Source organism: Homo sapiens, chromosome 7, assembly GCF_000001405.40.
Source record: "Homo sapiens chromosome 7, GRCh38.p14 Primary Assembly".
Lineage (NCBI taxonomy): Eukaryota > Metazoa > Chordata > Mammalia > Primates > Hominidae > Homo > Homo sapiens.
In genome coordinates this window covers 5,898,705-5,926,696 of record NC_000007.14, presented here as the reverse complement: position 1 = coordinate 5,926,696, position 27,992 = coordinate 5,898,705, and the positions used below count along the sequence as shown (strand labels likewise).

General features: G+C 46.2%; 2 protein-coding genes across 12 annotated transcripts in view, besides 1 other annotated feature; one reads left to right on the top strand and one right to left on the bottom strand.

The window, feature by feature from the left end:
- RSPH10B (radial spoke head 10 homolog B) overlaps positions 1-561 on the top strand; it is a 44,716-nt gene extending 44,155 nt beyond the window's left edge. For all 10 annotated transcript variants that reach the window (XM_011515208.4, XM_011515204.3, XM_024446691.2 and 7 more), the window contains one exon: positions 149-561. In XM_011515208.4, coding sequence (XP_011513510.1) covers positions 149-329 — 181 coding nt within the window. In that variant the 3' untranslated portion in view covers positions 330-561. The remainder of the gene's footprint in view (positions 1-148) is intronic.
- CCZ1 (CCZ1 vacuolar protein trafficking and biogenesis associated) lies at positions 147-27,964 on the bottom strand. 2 transcript variants are annotated; one of them, NM_015622.6, is made up of 15 exons: positions 27,778-27,964; positions 26,316-26,413; positions 26,131-26,224; positions 25,765-25,842; positions 24,993-25,040; positions 23,953-24,036; positions 21,428-21,603; positions 16,581-16,662; positions 14,775-14,836; positions 13,743-13,854; positions 7,797-7,830; positions 6,731-6,848; positions 3,152-3,310; positions 2,735-2,862; positions 147-1,065 (listed from the first exon to the last, which is right to left on the bottom strand). In NM_015622.6, exons 1-15 carry the CDS (start codon positions 27,895-27,897, stop codon positions 1,010-1,012), a joined length of 1,449 nt encoding a protein of 482 aa, NP_056437.4. In that variant the 5' UTR covers positions 27,898-27,964; the 3' UTR covers positions 147-1,009. The 2 variants fall into 2 exon arrangements, with proteins under 2 accessions (NP_056437.4, XP_047276421.1); XM_047420465.1 differs by lacking the exons at positions 147-1,065; positions 2,735-2,862; positions 6,731-6,848; positions 7,797-7,830 and having other exon boundaries at positions 3,233-3,310.
- Positions 3,597-4,106: an enhancer, noted in NCBI's record as "nonconserved acetylation island sequence 61". NCBI's record gives its function as "activates a minimal heat-shock promoter by reporter assays in Jurkat T cells {active_cell/tissue: Jurkat}" and the evidence as "EXISTENCE:reporter gene assay evidence [ECO:0000049][PMID:17135569]".
- Positions 27,965-27,992: the final 28 nt, after the last annotated feature.

Here is a 27,992-nt window from a genome sequence, read left to right as displayed (position 1 = left end):
TCAGGCAGAGTGTAGCAACTTACAGTTTTGTTTACACATGCTGTTGAAATGCAGGTATGAAGGGCTGTATACTATAAATAGCCTAAAACTGGTTTTGCAGTTTGGAGGGGGATAAAAAAAGCTACCACCTTCTCATGTTTGCTTTTAGGCTGAACATCTTCATCTTGAGAGAGGAAGAGGCCAAGAGACATGACTATGAGGTGGACATCACAGTGCTCAAGGAGCCGGCAGACGTGTCATCCTCTCACCTCATACTGGACCCTCCCAAGGAGGATGTGACCGTGTCCCCATCCAGCAAGACCATCACCAGCAAGAAGAAGAAAAAGTAGAGAGACACGAGGACACACACACAGGCTTAGGATGGCACGTGCTGTAAGATTTCCTGAGCATTACAGTTCTTAGCACTGAACTCGTCACAGTGTTTTAACATACCCCTTGGCCCACTGCATCTCAGGTTTCCTACATGGCTGGATTACGGGAGTTCGAGACCAGCCTGGGCAACATAGTGAGACCCCCCCATCTCTGCAAAATTAAAACATCAGCCGACCGTGGTGGTGTGTACATGTGGTTCTAGCTTCTTGGGAGGCTGAGGTGGGAGGATTGCTTGAGCTCAGGAGGTTGAGGCTGCAGTGAGCCATTGCATTCCAGCCTGGGTCACGGAGCTGGTGGCCAGTGTAATCTATAAATAGGCAGCAGGAGAGAGACTCAACACCAAACCAGAATTTTAAAAACTTTTAACAATTTATTAGTCTTATTTTCCAGTAAAATATTCACATAATGTCAAAAGAATGAAATGATAGCGATATAGCCAACTACCTTTAATTAATTCCACATAAATATTTAAAATCTAAAAACCTCAGATCAGCAGACCGAGTCGAAATGTGATTCTTCAAAGCAAGTATTGCTTTACCCTTGTCCTGAATGCAGTCCGTCATATGACCACTAACTTGCATGTGACCAAATGTTTGCAGAGTGTTTTTTAGATATGCTCTCGGTGAGCCGTCATCCGTCAATCCAAGAAGAAGATGTTGTTGAACTGCGTTGCACAAAGTTTCTTGACCTCTTCTGCAACAAGGACACAACAGTGAGGAAGGAAGAGGCAGTCACTTAAAAGGTTACATGATATATAATTAAATTCTTCTTGGGTAAAATTAGGAAGAGAGATTTGCATTGATTTTGACCTTAAATCCCAGAAGACTAGGCAAGAATTTTTTTTTTTTTTTTTTGTTTGAGACAGAGTCTTGCTCTGTCACCCAGGCTGGAGTGTAGTGGTGTGATCTTGGCTCACTGCAGCCTCTGCCTCCCAAGTAGCTGGGACTACAGGTGCACACCACCACGCCCTGCTAATGTTTGTATTTTTTGGTAGAGACAGGGTTTCGCCATGTTGGCCAGGCTGGTCTCGAACTCCTAACCTCAAGTGATCCGCCCACCTTGGTCTCCCAAAGTGCTGGGATTACAGGCATGAACCACTGTGCCCAGCCAAGAAATGTTAACAAGTAGAAGAGGGGAAAAAATCCACCTACAAAACCTACCAGGCCTCAGGAGTTTTGAGCCTATCAACACTGCTGCCCGGGGCCTGAGAAACTGCAAAGTGCCCGGGACACCCAGGGGAGGGGGTTAGAAGCACAAGGCTGGTGACACACACCAAGCACAAGGTTGTCATCCTGGGACAACTAATGGAACAACAAAGAAACGGACAGCAACCTTGAGCTGCAGACCAAGTGCTCCGCAGAGGGGTCAGGATTTTGATCTTACCACATTCACAGTTTAGATCAGGCTTGCATTAACTGATGTTTCTAGTGCGCACAATGACTAACACAGGTATTACTAATAAAGAGAAAAATGTAGTATGCCCAAGATACAAGGGGAAAAAAACGCTTACACTGAATTTCCACACAGTGTACACGTGGGGCATCTCCCAAGGGGGCAGCTCTGCCGAGGTGAGGTCCCCTCTCTCCAGGGCAGCCGAGCTATCAGCACCGCAGCTGCCGGGTCACCCCGTGCAGTGGGCAAGGCTGGCCGCTTTGGCGGGAAGGCAGGAGAAAATGTCTGCCTCCTTCTGCCTGTGTACAGAGGGATACTTGTAAACGGCTACGTGAACCCGGCAGCTTCTCCCTACAAAAGATATGTTTTTATCACAGGATATTAAAAAAGGACATTTTGGGCTGGGCAAGGTGGCTCACGCCTGTAATCCCAGCTCTTTGGGAGGCCAGAGGATCACTTGAGGCCTGGAGTTTGAGCCCAGCCTGTGCGACAGAGCAAGACTCTGTTTCAAAAAAAAAAAAAGAAATTAGCTGGGTCTGGTGACACATGCCTTGGTGATACATGCCTGTGGTCTCAGCTACTCTAGAGGCTGAGGTGGGAGGACTGCTTGATCCTAGGAGTTGGGGGCTGTGGTGAGCTATGATTGCACCACTGCACTCCAGCCTGTGTGACAAAGTGAGAACCTGTCTCCAAAAAAAGGGGGACATTTCTTAATATAAAGTCATTTTTTTTTTTTTTTTAGAATTGTAGAAAATAATTTTCTTTCTGCCATTGCCAAGTTTCCTGTGCTACAGGAAGGTCTTGTCATAGTTTTCCAAGGAACAGAAAATGGATCAAATGTGGAGCAGAGGCACCTGCTTAGAATCTCAACAGTCATGATTTGTTCTATTTACCTATTTTTTAACCATGTTTCTTAATGCAATGAAAAGACAACTTCTCAAATTCTCCTGAAATACCAAATCCTACTTACCATTTACTTCAATCAGGTTTGCATTTTTTTGATTCAAAATAACATAGAGCTCCCGCCGATCAGACTTCTTTCCAACAACCCAGTAATCACTCATGGCCTTCACAATGATCTCCTCATCTTCATCCACTCTGCAAGACGAGGGTCAAAATGCAATCGTTCGTTACTCATACGGCCAGACTGTGAGAATAAGCGTTCCAAACCAAGAACAGGAAATGGAACGGGCGCACGTGGCATTTAAAAGGCTCAGGGAGTGCCGCGCGAGGGAACCGGTGACTTCAGGGCTCCCGGGTCTGTTTGGAAGCGGCGCCCATGAAGGTGGTTCACGCTTGAACCCCATGGAAAGGGCTTGAAGGGATTTTCTGTGTCTTTTCTCGTCTTAGAAAGGGGACGCCTGATTGGAGAAGTGGCTGGAATCACCTGGTAAAGTCACTGTTGATGTCACCGAGAATCTTCATTAAATCCGGGTGCACGGAAGTGAGCGACACGCTGGGCGTTTTCCTCATGTGAACTGTGCTCTTCTCGGCGAGATTCATGTGGTTGAAGTAGATAAACTTAAACTGGGGTTCTTTCTCAGACCTGTGAAAACATGTCACGAAGACAGTAGCACTCGGGCCGGATACAACTAGATTCTTCTTTTAAAATTTTTTTGAGATGGAGTCTTACTGTCGCCCAGGCTGGAGTGCAGTGACACGATCTCGGCTCACTGCAACCTCCGCCTCCCTGGTTCAAGCGATTCTCCTGCCTCAGCCTCCTGAGTAGCTGGGATTACAGGCGCCCGCCACCACGCCCAGCTAATTTTTGTATTTTTAGTAGAGACGGGGTTTCACCATGTTGGCCAGGATGGTCTCGATCTCCTGACCTTGTGATCCACCCGCCTTGGCCTCCCAAAGTGCAGGGATTACAGGCGTGAGCCCCCGCGCCCGGCCCTGGCCCTCTTTTTCTAAACAAAGTTTCACGGGAACCTCGCCATTGCCACATGTTCATGTGTTGTCTGTCTGCTTTCCCACCAAAATGACAGTTGAGTAGTTTTAACACGTATCTACATACAGCCCGTGACATCTGAGATACTTATTATTGGGTCCTTTACCGTAAAAGTCTGCTGACCCCTGCTTGAGGAGAGTAACACCTCGTTCCTCCCACAGTGCGGGGAATGAGTGTCCCGTGGAAATTAACCTGCCTCATGAGGGAAGCCTACGACACTATGTAACGAAGCTTTCCCTCATATCATCCCCAGTGGACATCACTGTAAAACGCAGTCGCCTTTTCCACTGCAGTCTGATGAACATTTTAAATGGGATGTACCTTTTTATTTCTTAAACTGACTAGGCAGTGCTACGACGCTGCCTCCCAGGTCAGAGTCTGTGACCTCCTCGGGGACCTAGTGGGAAAAGCTGGGCCTCACTGCTCCTGGGGCCCCTCCCCTCCCCTCCCTGCACCCTCAGTGTCCACCCTGGGGCCTGGATGGGGCCTGAGCACAGCCCCGCCCCTGGGCTCAGAGGCCTCCTCTGCTTGCTTCAGGGTTAGCAGCCACGTTCTGGAGGGCTGGGGGTACCAGAAATCCGACCTCCGGACCAATGGGGTACTCATGAAATACTCTACGTCCAGGCAAAGAAAGAACGTGGAGGATTGAGTTTCCAGGAACATGTAAAGAAACTTCTTATAAAACCAGAATTTGTTTTCATAGTTCCCTAAGGTTAAGGAAAGTATAATGACAAGAAAAACTGTTTGGAAAGAGTTGTAAATTTAGTTGTCTGGGTAGACAAGGAACTTAAATCGGGTGTAAGCTTCTATCCTCAAAACACTCTGTGAGGCCAGGAGCAGTGGCTCACGCCTATAATCCCAGCACTTTGGGAGGCTGAGGCAGGCAAATCACTTGAGGTCAGGAGTTCGAGATCAGCCTAGGCCACATGGCGAAACCCCGCCTCTACCAAAAATACAAAAATTAGCCAGGCGTGGTGGCACACACCTGTAGTCCTAGCTCCCGGGGAGGCTGAGGTAGGAGGATCACTTACAGCCTGGGAGGTCAAGGCTGCAGTGAGCCATGATTGCACCACTGCACTCCAGCCTGGGCGACAGCAGGAGACCCTGTCTCCAAAAACAAACCCACAAAAAAACAAAACAGGTGACACGTTCTCTATGGTCACTACACTTTGTCACTTTCCATCTGTTAGTTGATAACCTGCATGATCCAAACCGATTTAACTCACTTTTGCCTCCTTCACAAAGGAAAACCTGGTATTTTCACGGCCAAAGGATTCAATGATTCAGCAGCACTGTCAAGATATAAGCTGTTGGCTGGGCATGGTGGCTCATGCCTGTAATGCTAGCACTTTGGAAGGCCGAGGTGGGTGGATCACCTGAGGTCAGGAGTTCAAGACCAGCCTGGCCAACATGGCAAAACCCTGTCTCTACTAAAAATACAAAAATTATTAGCTGAGTGTGGTGGCACACGCCTGGAGTCCCAGCTACTCGGGAGGCTGAGGCAGGAGAATTGCTTGAATGAACTCAGGGGCTGGAGGTTGCAGTGAGCTGAGATCATGCCACTGCACTCCAGCCTGGGTGAAAGAGTGAAACTCTGTCTCAAAAAATAAAAACAAAAAGCAACAAAGATGTAAGCTGTTGACAGCAGTAATCCACACACTGTTGTACAAAACCTAGAGGTGCTTTCACCTTTGCTCGCTTCTGCGCTCTTAGAGGCCCACGGTTATACAAGACCATGCAGAAATAACATATGGGCCGGGCGCGGTGGCTCACGCCTGTCATCCCAGCACTTTGGGAGGCCGAAGTGGGTGGATCACGAGGTCAGGAGTTCGAGACCAGTCTGACCAACATGGTAAAACCCAGTCTCTACAAAAATTAGCCAGGCATGATGGCACCCAGCTACTCAGGAGGCTGAGGCAGGAGAATCGCTTGAACCTGGGAGGCGGAGGTTGCAGTGAGCTGAGAACAGACCATTGCACACTCCAGCCTGGGCAACTGAGACTCTGTCTTAAAAAAAAAAAAAAAAAAAACCCAAAAAACAACGTATGAACATTAAGACCATGAGCGTATGCAGAAATTCACAGCCTTTTAGTAACTTCTCAAATGTGTAGAGAGCCCATTTAAAAGCAGGACTTCAACTTCGCAAAGTGCTTTCCATCGCCTCACTTTCACTTTATAATAACTATTTTATATTGAGAAAAGATAAGCATGGCCGGGTGCGGTAGCTCACACCTGTAATCCCAGCACTTTGGGAGGCTGAGGCAGGTGGATCACTTGAGGTCAGGAGTTCAAGACCAATCTGGCCAACATGGTGAAACCCCGTCTCTACTAAAAATACAAAAAGGAGCCGGGCATGGTGGTGCACGCCTGTAATCCCAGCTACTCAAGAGGATGAGGCATGAGAATCGCTTGAGCCTGGGAGGCGGAGGCTGCAGTGAGCCAAGATCAAGCCACTGCACACTCCAGCCTGGGCGACAGAGTGGGAATTTGTCTCAAAAAAAAAAAAAAAAAGCCAGGGAGAAAGAATTCAAGGACATTTCAGTGTCTAGAGAGCCGGAGGAGTGAATCCCGCCTCTCCCACTCAGTGTAGACACTTCAGGCTGCCAGACTGAGTACCCAGGCCCAGTGCCCCACATCCCAGCCAGTTTCCCCTACACATTTTCACACAACGAGAGGCAAAATGCTTTCAGTCTGTGCACACCAAGACCACGCCGATGACTACTGTCCAAGTGAACGTAACAATCTGGGCTGGTGAAATGGGACGTTCCATTCGGGGGGAGCTGAGGGAAGGTATTTACCAGAAGGCCCAGCCCCAGCTGCCAGCGTGGGGCAGAAACACTCAGGGTGACTGTCCCCGGGACCCTTTCAGACAGAGGCCTGAATGGCACGTAGCACCATCCTCTACAGTCCACGAGAACACAGGACTGTTAATACCACCCGTATTTGTAAGTGAAAACTACGTGTATTTCAAAAGCCGTTCAATGCCTGAAAGTGAACCGAAAGCAAAGTACAAACCCGGACATCCTCTTGTTGATGTTAAACTGTTCACAGATGTCAGAGGCCAGCACTGTGAGCTGGGGCCCAACGATGCTGTCCAGTCTTCGGCAAAAATCCAACGTTGGGTGGACAGAGGCTGGCAAGTCATGACAAAAAATACCAGTAAGATTCATTTTACTGTGCGACGCTGAACAACAGTATTCAAACGAAAACTTCACTGGTCTGGGAAAACAAACAATGAATGCTCAGGCCCCCTTCTGCTCCTCAAATAGAAGAGAAACAGAAGATAGAAAACCGGTTACATTTCAGATGAAAAAAGGGCGAAGACCTATCTCACCGTGAAAAGCTGACCGAGGCACACCCTGTAGGGTGGTAAACGGTTGCCTACCCCAGAAAGACCTCAGAAGGTCGTATGTTTATTTAACAAACATTACGTAGCACTCATGGGCCAGGTGCTTCACAGACATGACCTCATTCGATCCTCAGAACCCCCCCGAGAGAGGTACCACTGCTGTCTCCAGCTCGCAGTCGGTGGGACACAGAAAGATGCCCACACTCTACTGCTGACTAGCGGGAAAACTAGGACTTAAAAAATATGAGCACTGGCTAGTTAAGGAGACAGGGGGGTCCCAGATGGGGAACAGGGCTCCTCTCTATGCCTCTATATTGCTTATGACAACACATTTATCATTTAATGGGCTGGGTGTGGGGGCTCACGCCCGAAATCCCAGCACTTTGGGAGGCTAAGATGGGTGGATCGCTTGAGCCCAGGAGTTTGACACTAGCCCGGGCAACATAGTGAGACCCTGTCTAAACAAACAACCACAAAAACATTAGCTGGGTCCGGCGGTGTGTACTGGCAGTCCCAGCGACTTAGGAGGCCAAGGTGGGAAGATCACTTGAACCCAGGAGGTCGAGGCTACAGTGAGCTATGATCATGCCACTGCACTCCAAGAGTGAAACCCCGTCTCCAACAAAAAAAGCCCAAACAACCGAAACCCCCAAAACATATTTATCACTTAAGAATAGGATGCAGCAAAGTACAAAAAGCTTAGGCTGAAATCAGACAAAGGCGCGTACCCACCGTCGATCATAAAGCACACAGCCGCACTCATGGCCTGGGAAGACAGAACAAACCAGAGGTTATGAAATGGTGGAAAAAAGGAGACTTTCGTATAATAACAATCTGTTCAAAGTCAATGGGGAGAAGTCAACTGTAAGAAGCTGCTTTTTGGTCAACTAGAGCCATCTGGACACAGACTGCCCATTCCATGATGCGAGGGGAGTGCTGTTGACCTTGTCAGGTGTGACAGCGCCAGTGGGGAGGTTACCACGGATGTCCTCATCAGAGAGGCACAGGGAAGTGTTCGTGACTGACGTGATGACTTAAAATGCTCTTGCAAACCCGACAACACAACATGGAGAAGCAACGAAGACCAGAATCTTATTCACTTGTGTGATGGGGACTTAGGGGTTCACTGTTCTAGTCTCTCTGTGTATAGTCCAGAGAGAATAGAGAATTGGCAGAAACTGTCCATTATTCTGTGACGATTTCCATTGACACACGTTTACAAAGACAGCAAATGGATATCATCCTGTCTCACTTTATTATAGCAAGTAATTACAGTTATGACATTAGACCTAGCAACCGACAACAACCAGGACCACAGATAACCAAAAATGTTTAAAAGTTATCAAAGCAATGTATGGTTAAGAGAGGCTGAGCAGAACACCAGGCCTGATGATGAAAGCCACAGATTTCGTTCTCTGACCCTCCTCCCCGGCAACCACTTTACACTGTCATTAGACAACAGCGTTATCCTAACTCTTCAACGTATCCTCTTTGGGCATCGTACTGACTTCCTGCTCATGTCATGACAGGTGTGACCCCTCGTCTGCCTTCCCCCTCCTCCTCTATGGTTTATAGCATTCTATTTCCTCCGCTGGCCGCCTTCCACCAGCCACAGCCTCCGCTCCTGAACTCACATTCCCACCTGCCCCAGTACCTCTTCCCACTTCCGAGAGCGAAATCCTGTCTCAAGAGAAGAAAGATCTCAAATCAGTGACCTGACCTTTCGTCTTAAGATCCTGGACAACAGGAGTCAACTAAACCTAAAGCAAGTGGGGCCGGGTGTGGTGGCTCATACCTGTAAGCCCAGCACTTTGGGAGGCCGAGGTGGGCGGATCACCTGAGGTCAGGAGTTTGAGACCAGCCTGGCTAACATGGCAAAACCCCATCTCTACTAAAAGTACAAAAAAATTAGCCGGGCGTGGTGGTGCGCCTATAATCCCAGCTACTCAGGAGGCTGCGGCAAGAGAATCATGTGAACCTGGGAGGCAGAGGTTGCAGTGAGCTGAGACTGTGCCACTGCACTCCAGCCTGGGTGACAGAGCAGGACTCCGTCTCAAAAAAAACAAAAACAAAAACAAAAAAACCCAAACAAACCTAAAGCAAATGGAAGGAAATAATAAAGCATGAGAGCAGAAACAAACTCAACAGAGAAAAATCACAGAGATAATAAATGAAACCAAAAGTTGTTCTCTGAAAAGACCCAACATTGAAAAACTTTTCCTTTTTCTTGTGAAGATTCCAGAAGTATGAAGAACCTTTAGCTAGACTATACAACAAGGAACAAAGAGAGAAGACTCAAATTACTAAAACCAGGAATGAAAGAGGAGACATCACTACTGACTTTACAGGAAAAACGAAGGAGTATCCGGCTTTACCTACAATACCATGAAAAACCACGTGCCGACAAATCAAATAAATTAATTGAAGCTGACAAATTCCTAGAAAGACACAAACTACCAAAGCTGACTCAAGAAGAAACAAAATCAAAATAAACCTGTAACAAGTACAGAGATTAACCCATTTATGCTGGAGGTTGTAAATCTTTTTTGTGAAAAATGAGACCTTGGCAATGACCTTCAGCAGGATATAAATAACTCTCACAAGCTTAGTGTTCCAATAATGGAACACTGGGCATAAATGGTTAACTTTAAAATTTGCCACAAAGAAAAGCCCAGGTGCAGAGAGCTTGACTGTGAATTCTATGAAACATGTAAAGAGGAATTAACACCAATTTTTCACTGTCTTCCAAAAAAATAGGAGGGAACATTTCCCAACACATTTTATCAAGCCAGCATTGCCCAAAGATATCACAAGAAAACAAAACTACAGGCCAATATCCCTTACACCCAAGCCCGCACAGCACCCGCTCCACCTCTGGAGGGCTGGAGACTAAGGCTGGCCATGTGGGGCCAGCTGTGTCTCTGTGGCCAACCCCCAATCAAATCTCTGGATCTCGAGGCTCAGGTGAGCTTCCCTGGATGTCAACACTCCATAGAGACAGCCACACATCCTCGATGGGGAAACACTCACTGGGCTGTCCACATGACCCCAACGGGAGAGGACAGCCGGAAGCTCACACCAGAGTGGGACTCCATCTCAAAAACCAAAAAACCAAAAAAAAAAAAAACAAAAAACAAAACAAAAACCCAAAAAACCAAACCAACCCAAACCAACCTAAAGCAAATAGAAGGACTCCTGGTCCTTCCATTGGTGGCTCCTGCGCCCTGCCCCACACGCCTCTTCCCCGGGCTGATTTTAACCTGTATTCTTCCACTGTAATAAACCGCAGCTGTGAGTGCCGCCATTCTTCCTTCCCCCTGGTTTTGTTTCCCATGGTTTCTGTTATGTGAGGGACAGTATAATAAAATATTGAGGGAAGGGGGAAGCAAACCGCATTCACATGACTTTTATTGCAGTAGAGTGTCATCGTCCAATTATGATTACTATTACTTGTTTTGAGATGGGGTCTCACTCTTGTCCAGGCTGGAGTGCAGTGGCACGATCTTGGCTCACTGCAACCTCCGCCTCCCAAGTTCAAGAGATTCTCCTGACTCAGCCTCCTGAGTAACTTGGATTACATGTGCATGCCACCATGCCTGGCTAATTTTTCTATCTATAGTAGAGGCAGGGTTTCACCACACTGGCCAGGCTGGTCTCAAGTTCCTGGCCTCAAGTGATCTGCCTGCCTCGGCCTCCCAAAGTGCTGGGATTACAGGTGTGAGCCACTGCGCCCAGCCTTATTAATCGCTTACTGTACTGAATTTATAAACATTATCACAGGCATGTATGTACAGGAAAAAACACAGCAAGTGAAGGGTTTGGTACTGTCCCCGGTTTCAGGCACCTCCCGGGGGTTTTGGAACACATGGCCTTTGGCTCGGGGGTACTGCTGTAGAAAGCCTTTTCTGAGTCCTGTAGTACTTCTAGAGAACTCTTACCCTAAAGGTGGTCACGGGGACTCCCAAACTCGCAGTGGGTGTCAGAAGTGAGGATGGTCTTGGAGACTCATGAACTTTGCAACTAGAAATCACTGAACTGTACATTTTAAGTGTACGAGGGTGAGTTGTATGGTACGTGCATTGTATCTCAAAGTCATTAAGAAAAAGGTAAGGACCCTTTAACATAGCCACAATCCCATCATCACACCCCACAATATGTCTGTAGATTGACTCTAAAAATAGAAATGCAGCCGACAGCATATTACACACCAGGGTTATGGAGATTTCAGCCATTACCTGGGTCATTCAAAGGAGGATGATTTTTTTCTTGAGATGGGGTCTCAAACTTTCACTCGATACACAAACGGACATTCTTCCTACTCCAATTCCTGCTCTGAATTACACCTCCAACATTTTGGTTTGCTTTTTCAGACCACATCTTTCTGTATGCTCTTCCTGCAATCTCCCCTTCCCTGCCAGTCTGTCACAGCCCAACTTTAAGTGACTCTCAAGCACACCATGTGATGAATGAAACATCTTTTTATCTTGGCGGCTTGAACCCTAGAGCCCTCCCTCCTCCTGCTGTCACGGAGCTGCTGGAGGTGGGGTGCCGCCAGCAGACCTGAAGAGCCTTATCACCCCAAGATTTCCTTGTACCGTCTCACACATGAGAACTACTGTTCTGGATTCCCAAGTGTTCCTTCTTGGTGTGCTCACTTATTCTGCTGACGGATGACCCTGTGTAACACCCTCAGGAAAGGTGCATGACGGTAAACTTTTTGAGGCTTTTCATGTTGAACGTGTTTTTTTTTTCTTTCTGAGACAGAGTCTTGCTCTGTTGCCCAGACTGGAGCACAGTGGCGTAAGCTCAGCTCACTGCAACCTCCGCCTCGCGGGTACAAGTGATTCTCCTGCCTCAGCCTCCGGAGTAGCTGGGATTAGAGGCGTGTGCCACCTCGCCTGGCTGATTTTTTGTATTTTTAGTAGAGACAGGGTTTCCCCATGTTGGCCAGGCTGGTCTCGAACTCCAGACCTCAGGTGATCCGCCCACCTTGGCCTCCCAAAGTGTTGGGATATAGGCATGAGCCACCATGCCCTGGCTAATGTCTTTCTTTTGTCTTATCTGTGGTTGACAGCTTGGCATGGCAAAGAACTCTACGCTCAAATTCATTTTCTCTCAGAACTTTGAAAGTCTCTCTTCCACTGTCACATAATGTCTGGTGCTGGATATGAAACTGTTGATACCAGTTTCATTATTTTTGAGAGGGTTTCACTCTGTCACCCAGGCTAGAATGCAGTGGTGTGATCATAGCTCATTGCAGCCTCCAACTCTTGGGCTCAAGCGGTTCTCCTGCCTCAGCCTCCTGAGTAGCTGGGACTACACATGAGCACTGCCATGCCTGGCTAATTTTTAAACATTTTCCTGTCGACACAGGGTCTTACTATGTTGCCCAGGCTGGCCTCCAACTCCTGGCCTCAAGTGATCCTCCCACCTTGGCCTCCCAAAGTGCTGGGACTGCACCTGGCCCATTTCAATTTTATATTAATAGATACAACTCTTCTAATTAGTGGATACTAATTTTTAAAGTTCTTGTCTGTCCTCGGAATCATGTTTCTTTCGAGACCTCTAGTTTTGTTTTTGCAGCCATATTTAACAATGAGGGAACCAGAAGGCTGACCAGAGATGGAGGCTTCACTCTGAGTGTAGGATGAAGGTCTCAGTTCTGTCTGGGAGAAAGAAATGCCAGAATGAGCAGGGCCTCATTCTCAGGGGCAGACATCCACGTTAGCCACTCTGGGTCTCTTCAGACTGTTTCCTTTCTTTAAACAGACCCTCGATTGTCACCCAGGGATGGATGCTCAGCTGTGGGCCTGTCTGTGCAAGGATGGGGGAAGGGGAGGCTGACTGGCCTCTCTGCCACACTTCACTTCCCTTCCCCACCTTTCCAGGCCCAGGCCCCACTCTGACTCCTCAGGTGACCTCCTCCAAGTCAGGAGCCTCTCTGGGCTTCCACAGGGCTGTGGGTCCTTGCCTTAGCACAGGGTTGCCACTCATATTCCAGGCCTGCTCCGGCACCGCCCTCTATCAGGCATGGTTTACAAGTCCCGTCTACCTTCCAGAGAGGGACAGGACTCCCTCATCCTGACACATCCCGCTCCTTCCTGTTCCCCCACGGCATCATTTCTGAGCCTTTATAAATGAAAACTTCTCCACAGCCTCAGGCAGGAAAGAGGAGAAACACGTGCACATGCTCCGTCTTCTTTCTTGAATCAAAAACTGCCTTTAATTAGAAACACAACCTGAGTACATATCCTTACAAGACCATGTCCTGACAGAAACAAAATACAATCCTTATGGAATTAGCAAGCCTACAGCTTTAAAATCAGAGCAAAAGCAGCATATGCACAGACACGTGGCTACGGCCCCCATCCAGAGCCATTTCGAGAACAGGCAGCACCAACCTCTGACAGCCTTTGGTTTGAGAGCACGTGAGACTTCACACGTTTATAAATCACAATCTTAAACAGTTCCTCTTTCACTAATAACAAAACTGTTTAAAAGGAGCTGAAAATAAACTTATTACGCTGGAAGAACACCCATTTTGAGTTTTACCATAATCAGAACTTCCAATATCTTTTCCAAGAAACATTTAAGAGGTTTGCACATGCACTCGTGTACACATGCAAGAAAGATCCACTTCAGCACAATCATTAACGCTGGAAGGAAAACAGTTGTTACCTTATAAACGATTAAATGGAGCTCTTCATAAGTGTCATCTGTATTTACAAAAATTTTGGGGAATCTGCATTTTGCATCTGGATCATTGAGGTTCAAGGGTCCGGTAAGAAATCTTAAAAGCAAGAACAGACATGACTTGATTCAACGAGGTGAAGGAGAATCAGGAATCTAGAAACAGAACACACTCCCACTTCATACACACCAGTTGCTTTTGATGCCAGGTGCTATTTGGCAAACACCATATCAGAATATGCTGGCTGGGCGTGGTGGCTCATGCCTGTAATCCCAGCACTTTGGGAGGCTGAGCTGGGTGGATCACCTGAAGTCAGGAGTTCAAGGGCAGCCTGGCCAACATGGCAAAACCTCGTCTCTACTAAAACTACAAAAATTAGCTGGTCGTGGTGGTGGGCACCTGCAATCCCAGCTACTCAAGAGGCTGAGGCAGGGGAATTGCTTGAACCTAGGAGATGGAGGCTGCAGTGAGCTGAGATCGTGCCACTGTACTCCACACTCCAGCCTGAGCGACAGAGAGACACTCCATCTCAAAAAAAAAAAAAAAAAAAAAAAAAAAAAAAAAGGGTATGCTGAAGTAAGTTTTAACTCATTGGAAACAACAAACTTTCCTTTGTTGATTACTGTCAATCAGATGGCACAAAGATATTTCAATGTCCATATTATCTTTACCAAAAAGATAATAGGCCACGCATGGTGGATCACACCTGTAATCCCAGCACTTTGGGAGGCCAAGGCAGGTGGATCACTTGAAGTCAGGAGTTCAAGACCAGCCTGGCCAACATGATGAAACCCTGTTTCTACTAAAAATACAAAATGAATTACCCAGGCATAGTGGCTCATGCCTGTAGTTCCAGCTACTTGGGAGGCTGAGGCATGACAGTCACTTGAGCCCGGGGAGGCGGAGGTTGCAGTGAGCGGAGATCTTGCCACTGCTCTCCAGCCTGGGTAACAGAGCCAGACTCTGAGTCAAAAAAGAAAGAAAACCCAGTATCATAAATCAAAGAACAGAAGTCCTACCTTCCATAGTGTTGAAGATTTCCTGGCATTTCTGCTCTTATTGGAGAATCCCTTCCTGCTAACTGCAAATACATTTAATGTTGAGAATGACTTATCAGACTTTTTATTTATTTTCCAAGCTTTGAAAAACAGCATTATCTACTAATTGGTTCCATGCCATTTGTCTTTTTCTTTTAGAGACAGGATCTTGTTCTGTTGCCCAGGCTGGAATGCGTGCAGCATGATCATGGCTCACTGCAGCCTTGAACTCCTAGGCTCAAGCAATCCTCCCACCTCAGCCTCCTGATAGAGGCATGTGTGACCAAACCTGGCTAGTTTTTAAATTTTTGGCCAGGTGAGGTGGCTCATGCCTATAATCCCAGCACTTTGGGAGGCCAAGGCAGGCAGATTACTTGAGCCCAGGAGTTTGAGAATAGCCTGGGCAACATGACGAGATCCCATCTCTACAAAAAATTAGCCAGGTGTGGTGGCACACACCTGTAGTCTCAGCTACTTGGGAGGCTGAGGTGACACGACCGCTTGAGCCCAGGAGTTTGAGACCATGCGAGTCAACAAAGTGAGACCTCGTCTCTTAAAAAAAAACTTGGAAAGCAGGAGGACAAGAGGGAGGGAACGAACAAGCGAAGAGAGTGAGTTCAACTGAGCCAAAATGATTTTTGTATGTTAAGCTCTGAAAATACTTTGGGGAGAACACAGTGATATCATTTAAAAGTTCTCTGCAGGAAACCGGGAAATTAAGTACTAGAGTGGAAAGCCGGGTAGGCACTAAAACATCTACTGAAAATTAGGTCTCCTGTTGATAGAGGAAAAGACTACACAAGTCGATTGTTTTAAAGATCACTGGCATTTTAAAGGTTCCTAGAACCCGATCTAAAATCCAATTTTTTGGCCAGGAGCAGTAGCTCACGCCTGTAATCCCAGCACTTTGGAAGGCTGTGGCGGGTCAATCACCTGAGGTCAGGAGTTCGAGACCAGCCTGGCCAACATGGTGAAACTCCGTCTCTACTAAAAATATAAAAATTAGCCGGGCATGGTGGCAGGTGCCTATAATCTCAGCTACTCGGGAGCCTGAGGCCGGAGAATTGTTTGAATCCAGGAAGCGGAAGTTGCAGTGAGCTGAGATTGCACTACTGCACTCCAGCCTGGGCGAAAAGAACAAAACTCTGTCCCAATAAATAAATAAATAAATAAATAAATAAATAAATAAATAAATAAAATAAAATACATAAATTAAAAGTAAAGTAAAATCCAATTTTCCTCTACTCAATGACTCACTCCTCTTAAAAACATGCTTGTGGACTGGGGGCGGTGGCTCACGCCTGTAATCCCAGCACTTTGGGAGGCCAAGGTGGGCAGATCACAAGGTCAGGAGTTCGAGACCAGCCTGGCCAACATAGTGAAACCTGTCTCTACTAAAAATACAAAAAAATTAGCTGGGCGTGGTGGCAGGCACCTGTAATCCCAGGTACTTGGGAGGCCGAGGCAAGGAGAATTGCTTGAACCTCTCCATCCCAGGCGAAAGTTCGAGACTCCGTCTCAAAAACCAAACAAACAAAAACACACACAAAAAAACCAACACACAGACACACAAAACGATGCTTTCTGTATCACATCTGAATGTCACATACTGGAGGAGAGCTGCATGTGGTTTTCTGTGCTAATTGATATACAGTGACACAAATATCACAGTAAGACAAAACATACATCAGAAACGATCAGAAACGCCCCCATGCACCACCATCTCACTCCACCTGCCCTCTCTGTGCCCCTGCATGTAATTGTGCGCAGCTATGGTACCCATCATACCTCAGGTTCGATGTGCCTTGGAAAAAGGGAGGTGGTAAGGTATTTGTATAAAATTCTCATGTCATCTTGTTCTAATCCACTCCTGCAACAACAGAAAAGCACTGGGTTAAACGTTTGGAACTGTCTTCTGTCTTTCCACTGCTGTGATAAAGCTCATTAAACAAAAATTTTTTTTTCAAGTCATTTTTAGTAACACAGAATAAATTCTAACTTTTTAAAGTCTAAAGCTACTTAAAACTCAAAGCAATCTATTTTTGTACCTGAGATCAAAATGAGTTTCCTTTTTCCTAAACATAATTCTTAGCATTGAGGTAAATCTGAATTTACGTGGTATACTTTGTCAAACTTTTCCAAAGAATTTGAAGCCCTGGATAAAACTCATTTTTTATTAAAAAAAATTTTTTTTTCTTTTTTTTTTTGAGACAAGGTCTTGCTCTGTCACCCAGGCTGGAAGCAGTGGTGCGATCATGGCTCACTGCAGCCTTGGCCTCCAGGGCTCAAGCGGTCCTCCCATCTCAGCCTCCAGACTAGCTGGGACTACAGGCATGCGCCACCATCAGCTAATTTTTGTATTTTATGTAGAGATGGGGGTCTTGCTACGTTGCCAGGCTGGTTTCGAACTGCTGGACTCAAGCAGTGCTCCCGCCTCAGCCTCCTAAAGTGCTGGGATTACATATGTGAGCCACTGTGCCTGGCCTCATCTTTTTTCATTTTTCAAGAGATGAGTCTCGTCTGTCGCCCAGGCTGGATTACAGTGGTGTGACCACAGCTTGCTGCAGCCACCGATTCCCAGGCTCAAGCGAACCTCCCACCTCAGCCTCCTGAGTAGCTGGGACTACTGGTGCTTTTCTCTTTAACATTATATCAAGAGGCTCACCACCTGACTGCGAAGTTAAGGAAGGTAAAGGGTTAAACTTGAGTCCAGGCACTGGAACTTTATCCTGACCTGCAAAAGGCTACTCCTACAGTCCTGTATTTTACATGCCATTTGAGATAAAAAAAAAAAAAAAGTCACAAGGGATTGGACTCGCTGGTTGAATTCCGTGTAGGATTATGCAGGAAACCTCCAAAGCCACACTGTTTCATTTTAGGAGCAGATGTCTCTTAGCTTCCTGGGTTATATGGTAATGCCACATTCTCTCCCCTAGTCCCCTGGGAAAATATGGGTATGCTGTAGACAGGGAACGTGATCCTAGGTCTCAGAAATGTACATGGATTTTAATTCTCCGGATCTTCGGTGAAGAAAGAGGAGGAGGAGAAAAACAAGCTTTCAGGCAAACCACCTGATCTGAAATGAGGCAGGAAGGAGCAGCACATGGAAAAAGCACAGAGAAACTAGCAGGTATCAGACTCTGGAACCGGTTTTTTAAAAGGAGACAGACAATGAGGCTGGATCTGGGCGTTTTCTATTCAAGATCACTGAAATACCGTGAAGGTGGTCGGGCGCGGAAGCTCACACCTGTAATCCCAGCACTTGGGGAAGCCAAGGTGAGCAGATCACCTAAGGTCAGGGGTTCAACACCAGCCTGGCCAACATGGCGAAACACCGTCTCTACTAAAAAATATAAAAATTTGCTAGGCCTGATAGCACACACCTCTAATCCCAGCTACTTGGGAGACTGAGGCATGAGAATCGCTTGAACCTGGGAGGCGCAGGTTGAAGTGAGCTGAGATCACATCACTGCACTCTAGCCTGGGCAACCAAGCCAATGAGACTCAGTCTCAAAAAAAAAAAATCAAAGCAATATACTAAGTAAATACATAAGGGTAATATATACTCTGCTTGTGACAAGTTTTTTTTTCCACTTTTTGGTAGAGACAGAGCCTCATTATATTGTCCAGGCTGGTCTCCAAGTAACTCCTGGCTCAAGCGATCCTTCTGCCTCCTCCTCCCCAGTAGCTGGGACTATAGGTATGTGCACCACGCCTGGCTTAAAAGTCTTTTTGGTATTTAATATAACAGCTTTGGAATAAGCAATTCCGTCAAAACGTGCTGTTTTTCTTTTTCTTAGACAGGGTCTTGCTCTGTCACCCAGGCTGGAGTACAGTGGTGCTATCATAGCTCACTGCAACCTCAAACTTCCAGGCTCAAGTGATTCTCCAGCCTCAACCTCTGTAGTCTCTGTAGTTGGGACTCTAAGTGCACACCACAATGCCCAGCTATTTTTTTTTTTTTCCATTTTTTGTAGATACAGTCTCACTATGCTGCCCAGGCTGGTCTTGAACTCCTGGTCTCAAGTGATCCTCCTGCCTCAGCCTCCCAAAGTGCTGGGATGACAGGTGTAAGCATTGGCGCCTGTTTTGCTTGAAGGTTATTTTTGTTGCTACTTCCTGGGACTGACCTTTCCCCACGAGCACACTGGAGGTGACAACAGAACAGTTCTGTGCAGCCACCAGAGCTGTGCCCTGCTCAACCCCTCAGATGCTATTCCAAGATGACGATGCCAACAGGATCCCCAGAGCTGGGCGCCAGATTGTCCTGTGACTCCAGGCTTCAAAGGGCCAACCCTGCTGGTCACTCTGGCTCCAGGGTCTCCCAGAATGAGCTCCTGGAAGACCCTCTGCTCTAAGCCTTCCCTCTTCCTCACTCTCAGGAGTTTGCACCCATGGCGGGGCTTGTGTTCTGTCCCAGAGATCAGAATCTCAGCTACCCTTCTCTTTTTGGTGGAAGCAAGGCCATGGGCCACTACTGCTGGATTCTGGCTTGTCACATGACATCTCCCTATCGCTGTGGCTGCGTGTGACTTGCAAGCACGTCCTGTCATTTCCATCTGTGGAGGAGCCATCCCTCTGCAGACCTGATGCTACAGAAGCACAACTAGCCTCCCATCTCCTACATTTCACAGCAGAATTTCACTTTAGTAACATTGTGTACATATCACAGAAAGCAACTATAGCTGAGTCAGTACAGTGTAAGGTTGCCTGATAAACTATTTGTCAAATTAGAAAGTAGGTGGAGGCGGGGCACAGTGGCTCACACCTGTAATCCCAGCACTGGGAGGCCAAGGTGGGCGGATCCTTTGAGGTCAGGAGTTCGAGACCAGCCTGGCCAACATGGTAAAACCCCATCTCTACAAAAAAATTAGCTGGGTGTTGTGGTATGCACCTGTAATCCCAGCTACTCGGGAGGCTGAGGCAGGAGAATTGCTTGAACCCAGGAGGCAGGGGTTGCAGCAAGCCAAGATCATGCCACTGCACTCCAGCCTGGGCAACAGAAAGCGACTCCATCTCAAAAACAAAAAAAAAAGTAGATGGGTTTCACCCGAAATTTCTGTTGTCTTCCTAGGAGATAAAGTTCATGTGGAAACCCACCAAGTTGTTTATTAACTGGATTCAAATTTCTTTACAGTAACTTGTTTCTCTTCTTAAAATGGAGCTACAAGATTTTGGCAGGGAAGGTAAATTTTAGGGGAACTAGTTTTGCCTTTTCTATTAGCTGAATTTACCTTATAGTAGTACCATATGGCCACACCCCTAATTAAGAAACTGGGCTAGGCCAGGTGCAGTGGCTCACACCTGTAATCGAGGCACCTTGGGAGGCCTATGCAGGGGAATCACCTGAGGTCAGGGGTTTAGGACCAGCCTGGCCAACATGGTAAAACCTTGTCTGTACTGAAAATACAAAAATTAGCCGGGCATGGTGGCATATGCCTGTAATCCCAGCTACTTGGGAGGCTGAGGCAGGAGAATCGCTTGAACCCAGGAAGGGGAAGTTGCAGTGAGCCAAGATCGCGCCACTGTACTCCAGCCTGGCAACAGAGTGAGACTCCGTCTCAAAAAAAAAAAAAAAAAAGAAAGAAAGAAAGTGGGCTCTAGTCAACGGGAACATAAAACTTGAGGGTCCCAGAACAGCTGCAAGCCTTGATGACTTCTGTCCACCTACTCTAGGCCAAATGTGCACAACCTCGGTTGCCACCCAGCTCTCAGGGGTCACATATGCTGGGCAGTCTTGTGCCCACGTTGTTCCTACTGCAGGACACAAACCTAGTTTCACGATAGCAGGTAATTTCCTGGTTTATATAACACTTTGGATTTCTTGGATTAAAAAAAAAGAAATCTAGTTTCTTTAAAAGAAAGTAGGTGCAGTGGCTCGTGCCTGTAATCCCAGCACTTTGGGAGGCTGAGGCGGGTGGATCGCTTGAGGCCAGGAGTTTGAGACCAGCCTGGGCAACACAGTAAACCCCGTCTCTATAAGAAAGAAAAAAAAAAAAAAAGGTATAAAAATTCTGCTTTTATCATTTCAGAAAAAAAAAAAAACTCCAAAATAAAAACAGGATTCCTAAACCTTACTTGATAGGAACATTTTCTCTTTTTTTTTTTTTTTTTTTTTTTTTTGGAGACAGAGTCTCTCTCTGTTGCCAGGCTGGGGTACAGTGGTGCCATCTCGGCTCACTGCAACCTCCGCCTCCCGGGTTCAAGTGATTCTCCTGCCTCAGCCTCCTGAGTAGCTGGGATTACAGGCATGCACCACCACGCCCAGCTACTTTTTGTATTTTTAGTAGAGACAGGGTTTCACTATGTTGACCAGGCTGGTCTCCAACTCCTGACCTCGTGATTCACCCGCCTCAGCCTCCCAAAGTGCTAAGATTACAGGTGTGAGCCACCGTGCCCAGCCTTTCATCTTTCATGCAACCAGTTTTAAACTCCTCTGCTTGGAAATTTGAACCCAAATCACCCTAGTTCTGCTTTAAATAATCACTGCTTTATTTTGACAATATCTATGAAGATGCTTCCTACCCATCCTCCCCGCTGCAAGTTCCTGTTTGACAACCTGTCATCAATCCAGTCACTGCTGTTTTTATTATCTTAATTTCTTCTTTTAATACCATGCCTCGGGGTGTACCTACCAGATGAGCTGATCGTTATAGAGAAAAGCAGTGTATTTGACTATATTCAGGCTTTCCTCCATTCTATTAATAAAGGACTGGATTTTCAAATAAGTCATTTTATCCAACGGGAAGAAGCTGATTCCACCAAAAATGTCAAGTAGGTCACATGACTGCAAATGTAGCGTTTGCAAATACTGTGGGAAAAAAAATAAGGCATAAAATTTACTAATAGTACACTGAATATAATGCTCCTTGATAACTGAAAATAATCTTATGTCAGACTCACATTTATGGTACAATTACATACTAGCAAACAGCGCAACAATGAGGCCGTGGTGAAGACATGGGTAACTGAGTGCCAACTCAGTCTCAGTACCAATTCCAAGATACAAAGTTCAAACATATCTACTTAATGTTTATTCAGTATTGTGTTTTACTGCTTTAAATTTATTTTTTTGTGACAGAGTCTTGCTCTGTCATCCAGGCTGGAGTGCAGTGGTGCGATCTCAGCTCACTGCAAGCTCCGCCTTCCAGGTTCACACCATTCTCCTGCCTCAGCCTCCTGAGCAGCTGGGACTACAGGCGCCTGCCACCATGCCCAGCTATTTTTTTCCATTTTTAGTAGAGATGGGGTTTCACCATGTTAGCCAGGATGGTCTCAATCTCCTGACTCGTGATCTGCCTGCCTCGGCCTCCCAAAGTGCTGGGATTAGAGGTGTGAGCCACCACGCCTGGCCAAAAATTTTTTTTTTTTTTTTTGGTATAGACAGAGTCTTGCTATGTTGCCTAGGCTGGTCTTGAACTTCTGGCCTCCGTGATTCTCGTGTCTAGGCGTCCCAAAGCGCTGGGAATACAGGCATGAGCCACTGTGCCCAGCTAGCACTTTCAAGTTTTTAATTCCTGGCCAGGCACAGCGGCTCGCGCCTGTAATCCCAGCCCTTTGGGAGGCCAAGGCGGGCACATCACTTGAGGTCAGGAGTTTGAGACCAGCCTCGCCAACATGACAAAACCCCGTCTCTAATAAAATTACAACATTAGCCGGGCGTGGTAGCCTGTAATCCCAACTATTCAGGAGGCTGAGACAGGAGAATCACTTGAACTTGGGAGACTAAGGTTGCAGTGAGCCAAGATCACACCATTGCACTCTAGCCTGGGTGACAAGAGTAAGATTCTGTCTCAAAAAAAAAAAAAAAAAAAAATTAACTCCCTGCCTTAATGCTCTTCAAATTAGACTAACCTAATGAGGGATCTATCCATTAATACTACAGAGAGTGCCATCTTTATTTCCCCCCCCGAGATGGAGTCTTGGTCTGTCACCCAGGCTGGAGTGCAGCGGTGTGATCTCGGCTCACTGCAACCTCGCCTCCGGGGTTCAAGCGATTCTCCTGCCTCAGCCTCCAGAATAGCTGGGATTACAGGCGTGCGCCACCACGCCCAGCTAGTTTTTTGGTATTTTTTAGTAGAGATGAGGTTTCACCATGTTGGCCAGGCTGGTCTCGAACTCATGACCTCAAGATCTGCCCGCATCGGCCTCCCAAAGTGGTGGGATCACAGGCGTAAGCCACCACACCCAGCCAAGAGTGCCATCTTATACTAAAATCATGTCTAAATGATATGTACTCAGGACAACAGTTCTATCCATATGTTGATGGGTAAGAGAGAAATGAGGACAAGAACAGAAACCAGGAGATAATATGCGAGTGGATAACTGTGGTCATTAAAATGACAAAACAAAGAAAAGTAATTCAGAGAAACAAAAAAATTCAAAAATAGCTATGAAAGCTGTTTTAGAAAGTCGAATTCAAAAATAGATACAGAAGGTATTTTCAGAAGAAAATAAATTGAGAATTGTTGCTTCGAGATAAACTAGGCTGGGCGAGTTGGCTCATGCCTTTAACCCCAGCACTTTGGGAGGCCAAGGAGGGAAGATCGCTTGAAACCAGCCTGGGCAAAACAACCAAGACAAGACCCTGTCTCTTTGTTTCCTTTTAAAAAAAAGATAAACTGAGCTTGACAAGGTAGGGTGAAACATGCAAAATTCAATTACAACGAAAGAGGACAGCACTTGGAACAAATCTCCCCAATCGCTAATCTGACAAAGTCTGTCAAGGCCAGTAACTCTTACCTACATCAAGACGGTTCACGCCCGTTTAGTGAACAGAACCAATCCCTGAGATTGTGCAACTCCAATAATTAAGTTTTCCTTATCAACTAATCTATCACACAAAAGATGGCTGCTGAGTAAGCCCAGAAGGACAGATGCAGGTAAAACACAGGGAGGCCAAACGATGTCTCCAGGACCCTTTAAGAGCCCCGGGCAAACGCAGGAAGCTCTGCCTTACACCACAGCTGGAGGGAAGGTTCCAGAGCACAAGCCTCATGCGTTTCCTCGCTGCTCCAGTTTTGCGACGGTCTGTCTCAGGCTCTTTGCCACTTTCAAGTTCTGGGTTTTTTGTATATAAGAAACAAACTTGTCTGTCTATATTTCTCTAAAAACCTGCTGAATGCTTACTAAAGTTATAAATGAAATTCAAAATACTTACCCGATGGAAGAATTTCTCTAATCTTTCTTTCAGAAGCTTGACGCCTCCGTCTTCCATGGCTTTCAGAAATGTACCATTAAAAAGCTAGTGAGGTAAAAGATTGCAGGAAAAAAAATCAGTTTCCTATGCTCACTTTTTCAGTATAACAAGTTCTTTTTTTCCTTTAGATTATTAATTCAGCTCATTAAATCTCCCAGTTCTTTCCAACAGAGAATATTTACATGAGAAAACTTGAGTTAAAAATGTAAGTTACAAAAAATACTGTTAAGTGATGCTGTCTTATTTATGAAACCACCTAATTGCTCTAGGCATCTTTCAAAAATTTCAACTTACCCTGAAGTTTCAATTTACATACATAATATCACCCACATTTCTGTTTTTTTATTTTTCAGTGTTCTGTTAATAAATGGAATCACCAAACTTTTTATCCTTTTTTTTTTTTTTTTTGAGATGGAATCTCGCTCTGTTGCCCAGGGTAGAGTGCAGTGGTGCAATCACAGTTCACTGCAGCCTCGACCTCCAAGGCGCGAGCGATCCTCCCACCTCAGCCTCCCAGGTAGCTGGGACTACAGGCATGCACCATGATACCTGGCTAACTTTTATAAAAATTTTTTGTAGAGATGGGTTCTTGCTATATTGCCCAGACTGGTCCTGAACTCCTGGGCTCAAGCAATCCTCCCACCTTAGCCTCCCAGAATGCTGAAATTACAGGTGTGATCCACTGTGCCCTGCCTCACTGAAACTTTTAAATCATAAAATTATCTGCATTCTGTACATTCCTTGAGCACATAGACACACTTTTTCATCAATGGGGACACATTCCTACTATAAGGCTGAGAAAAGAGAAGGGAGTTCAATACTTACTGAATAAATGTAGGCATAAACCTCACTACCTGTTTCAAAGGCCTCATTATTTTCTTCTCTAAGACAAATACAGAGTCACTTTGCAGTCATTTACAGATTTCTCTTTAAACAACCCTGGAGCCTAGAGATAGGGGTAAGTGGCTGGACTCTGAGTTGAGAAAGAACGCCACGCTTACCTTGTACATGCTGTAGCACTGCCGCAGCACCGAGCTATAAACCTTGTCCTGCAGACGCGAAAACACAGCACACAGCTCAGTTCAAGGGAAAAACAATGTCTACTGGATAGATGGCAAAGGTACACTAACTCTTGGCCAAACAGTATAATGTTTATAAACTTTGTCCCACAATAGTTGCGTGCTGAAAAAAAAGTGTTTGCGTTCTTTTTTTTTTTTTTTTGAGATGGAGTCTCGCTCTGTTGTCCAGGCTGGAGCGCAGTGGTACAATCTTGGCTCACTGCAACATTTGCGTCCCCGGTTCAAGCGATTCTCCTGCCTCAGCCTCCTGAGAAGCCGGGATGACAGGTGTGCGCCACCATCCCTGGCCAGTTTTTGTAGTTTTAGTAGAGACAGGGTTCCGCCATATTGGCCAGGCTGGTCTCGGACCCCTGACCTCAAGTAATCTGCCTGCCTTGACCTCCCAAAGTACTAGGATTACAGGTGTGAGCCACTGTTCCCAGCCAGAAGTGTTTAAACTCTAATTTGTGAATCAGTAAGCCTTACTTTAGGAGGGCTTTCAATATAAATGAAGAGTAGAAGGTATTAGTGAGATTGGGTGCATATACATTTTAAAAAGATTGTGCTCATGTAAATGATAAACATAAACCTTTGCTATATACCCCGAGAAACTTCTGCAAAAGCCTCCTAGTTTAAATCCGACCAAGTAAGGCATTCAACATACTCAGCAATACATTTAAAAAAATAAATAAATAAACAAACAATGACACATTACCAACAACTCCTCCTCTTGATATTCAATAACTGGTTTTCCATCTTTACTCTGTTTTTCAATTATAGGATTCCGAACAACCTACAAAGTTTGATAAACTGAAATTATACAATGAATTCATTAGACCATGTTTATTTTGCCTTAATTTAAAAACTTTGAACATGCTACAGCATCAGAAACATAGCTTCTTAAAACAGCCCCAAGAATGAATAAAGCAAATAGGAAGAACTTGATTTTAAAATTGCAACCAATTTTATTTTAATTTTACTTGGATGCAACAGCCAGAGAACTTTCCTAAATTCTGAACAGTAAAGATCACCCATAACTTCACCATACAATTTCAGAAAGATACACTGTGTATGTAAATACCATGACCATCCAGAAATTTTCTTCTGGTTCATTGAAGAACTGTCTGTTCTTCTGTGTATGTAAAGATTTTGCAGGTTTTGATGGGCTAAATGTCCTACAAAGGTTAAAAAAATATGTTTGGGACAATTCTCCAGCAGCAGTTTTAAGAATTCACTGAACGCTAAAAGCACACTTAGAGGTATTACCTTGTAAACTGTACAATAGCTTCACACAATCCGACATTTCTAATCTTCTCATTCTTTTCTACCTCATTTGGATGATAAAATAAAATCTTATTTTCCTCCTGAAACATGAGGAAACAGAAGCACAACATGAATAGAAACATTTCATCTTAGCTATTGAAAACGCTAAGTTCAATGTCGACCTCTTGTGTCACACATGCTAATGACAAAACAAAACAAAAACCGGTTTTAGAAAAACAGGAATTGTAATCCTAGTATTTTCAGAGGCTGAGGCGGGAGGATCACTTGAGCTCAGGAGTTCAAGACCAGCATGGCAACACAGTGAGACGTCTCTATTATTTAAAATAAGAAGAAGAACAGGAATGATCTCATCATTGTGCAAATACTGCCCACCAGTCAGAAAGGCAATTTCGATAGTCAGTAAGTCACATCTGAAGTAGCACCAGGTAATTTTTATGAAAACTCAAGTCTCTAGGTTTCTTTCCTAGTGCTAATTTGTAATACACCAATGCTTGTAAGAAATAAAGGTGTGCCCATCTGCAGACACATAGCTCCCTGAAAATTAAATCCAGTCAGTTCCCAGCCATTTGAACTGACAAGTTGCTTTTTTTTCTTTTTCTGGAGATGGGGTCTGTGCTGCCCAGGCTGTAGTGCAGTGGCGCTATTACAGCTCACCTGCAGCCTCAATCACTTGGGCTCAAGCGATCCTCTGGCCTCAGCCTCCTGAGTAACTGGAAATACAGGTGCGTGCCACCACGCCCGGCTCACTTTTCAATTTTTTTTTTTTTTGTAGAGTTGGGGGTCTTGCTATGTTGCCCAGGCTGGTCTGGAACCCCTGGCCTCAAGCAATCCTCCCATCTCGGCCTCCTAAAGTGCTGGGATTACAGGCGTGAGTCACAGCGCCCAGCCTGGACAGTCTTTAACAGAAGTCTGACTTGCTGGAAACAAAACACAGCTCCGGACATCCTTTGAGAAAGTCGCCGTCCCCACCTCAGAAAAACCACACACACACACACACACACACACACACACACACACACACACACACACCCCCCTCCCGAAATTAATTTATTTCCTCATTTGGGCGAAAACTATTACAGGGACCTCCAGGCTTGCATCATTTGAAGGCTAGCGTCTGCCACCCTGGTTCCACGCTTCTAGTTGGGGACTACCCACTTAACAAAGCCAAGTTCAATTTTAATTTCCCAGAACTGACGCAAAGCAAAGCGCAAAGAGCCTCAACCTGGGGTGTGGAGTGATATAGACCCGACGGGGCTTTATTCCATCGACCTAGGACCTGAAGCGGTCCCTGCCTGCTGTCAGGTCCCCGCCGCAGCCCCCTGCCCGGACTCGCACCTGGCACAATGCAGGCTAGGTCAGTGCCCCTCGAGGTGGGCAGAACCACAGGGCCACCTTCCCGGGGAACACCGGCGCCGCCCGCCCGCGCGCCGCCCCCTCCGCATACCTGTCCTTCGCGCGGCCCGAAGCGCGGGTTGTAGATGAAGAAACTCAGCAGCGCCGGCGGGAACTGCTTCTCCTGGGCCGCCCAGGGCCCGCTCCCGGCCCCGGCCGCCGCTGCAGCCATCCCGCCCCGGCCCCCACCTCGGGAGCCTCCCACGGCCCGCCCAGAGACAGCAGCCACCGGCTAAAACACCGCACTTCCGCCTCCGTCGCCACCGC

Excerpts from the sequence above, each read along its gene's own strand:
- CCZ1 (NM_015622.6), bottom strand. The coding sequence starts at position 27,897 with ATGGCTGCAGCGGCGGCCGGGGCCGGGAGCGGGCCCTGGGCGGCCCAG. Across the intron at positions 7,831-13,742 it reads TCCATTTAATCGTTTATAAG|GCCATGAGTGCGGCTGTGTG; the intron begins GTAACAACTGTT and ends CTGTCTTCCCAG. Across the intron at positions 2,863-3,151 it reads ATCAACAGTGACTTTACCAG|AGTGGATGAAGATGAGGAGA; the intron begins GTGATTCCAGCC and ends CTCGTCTTGCAG.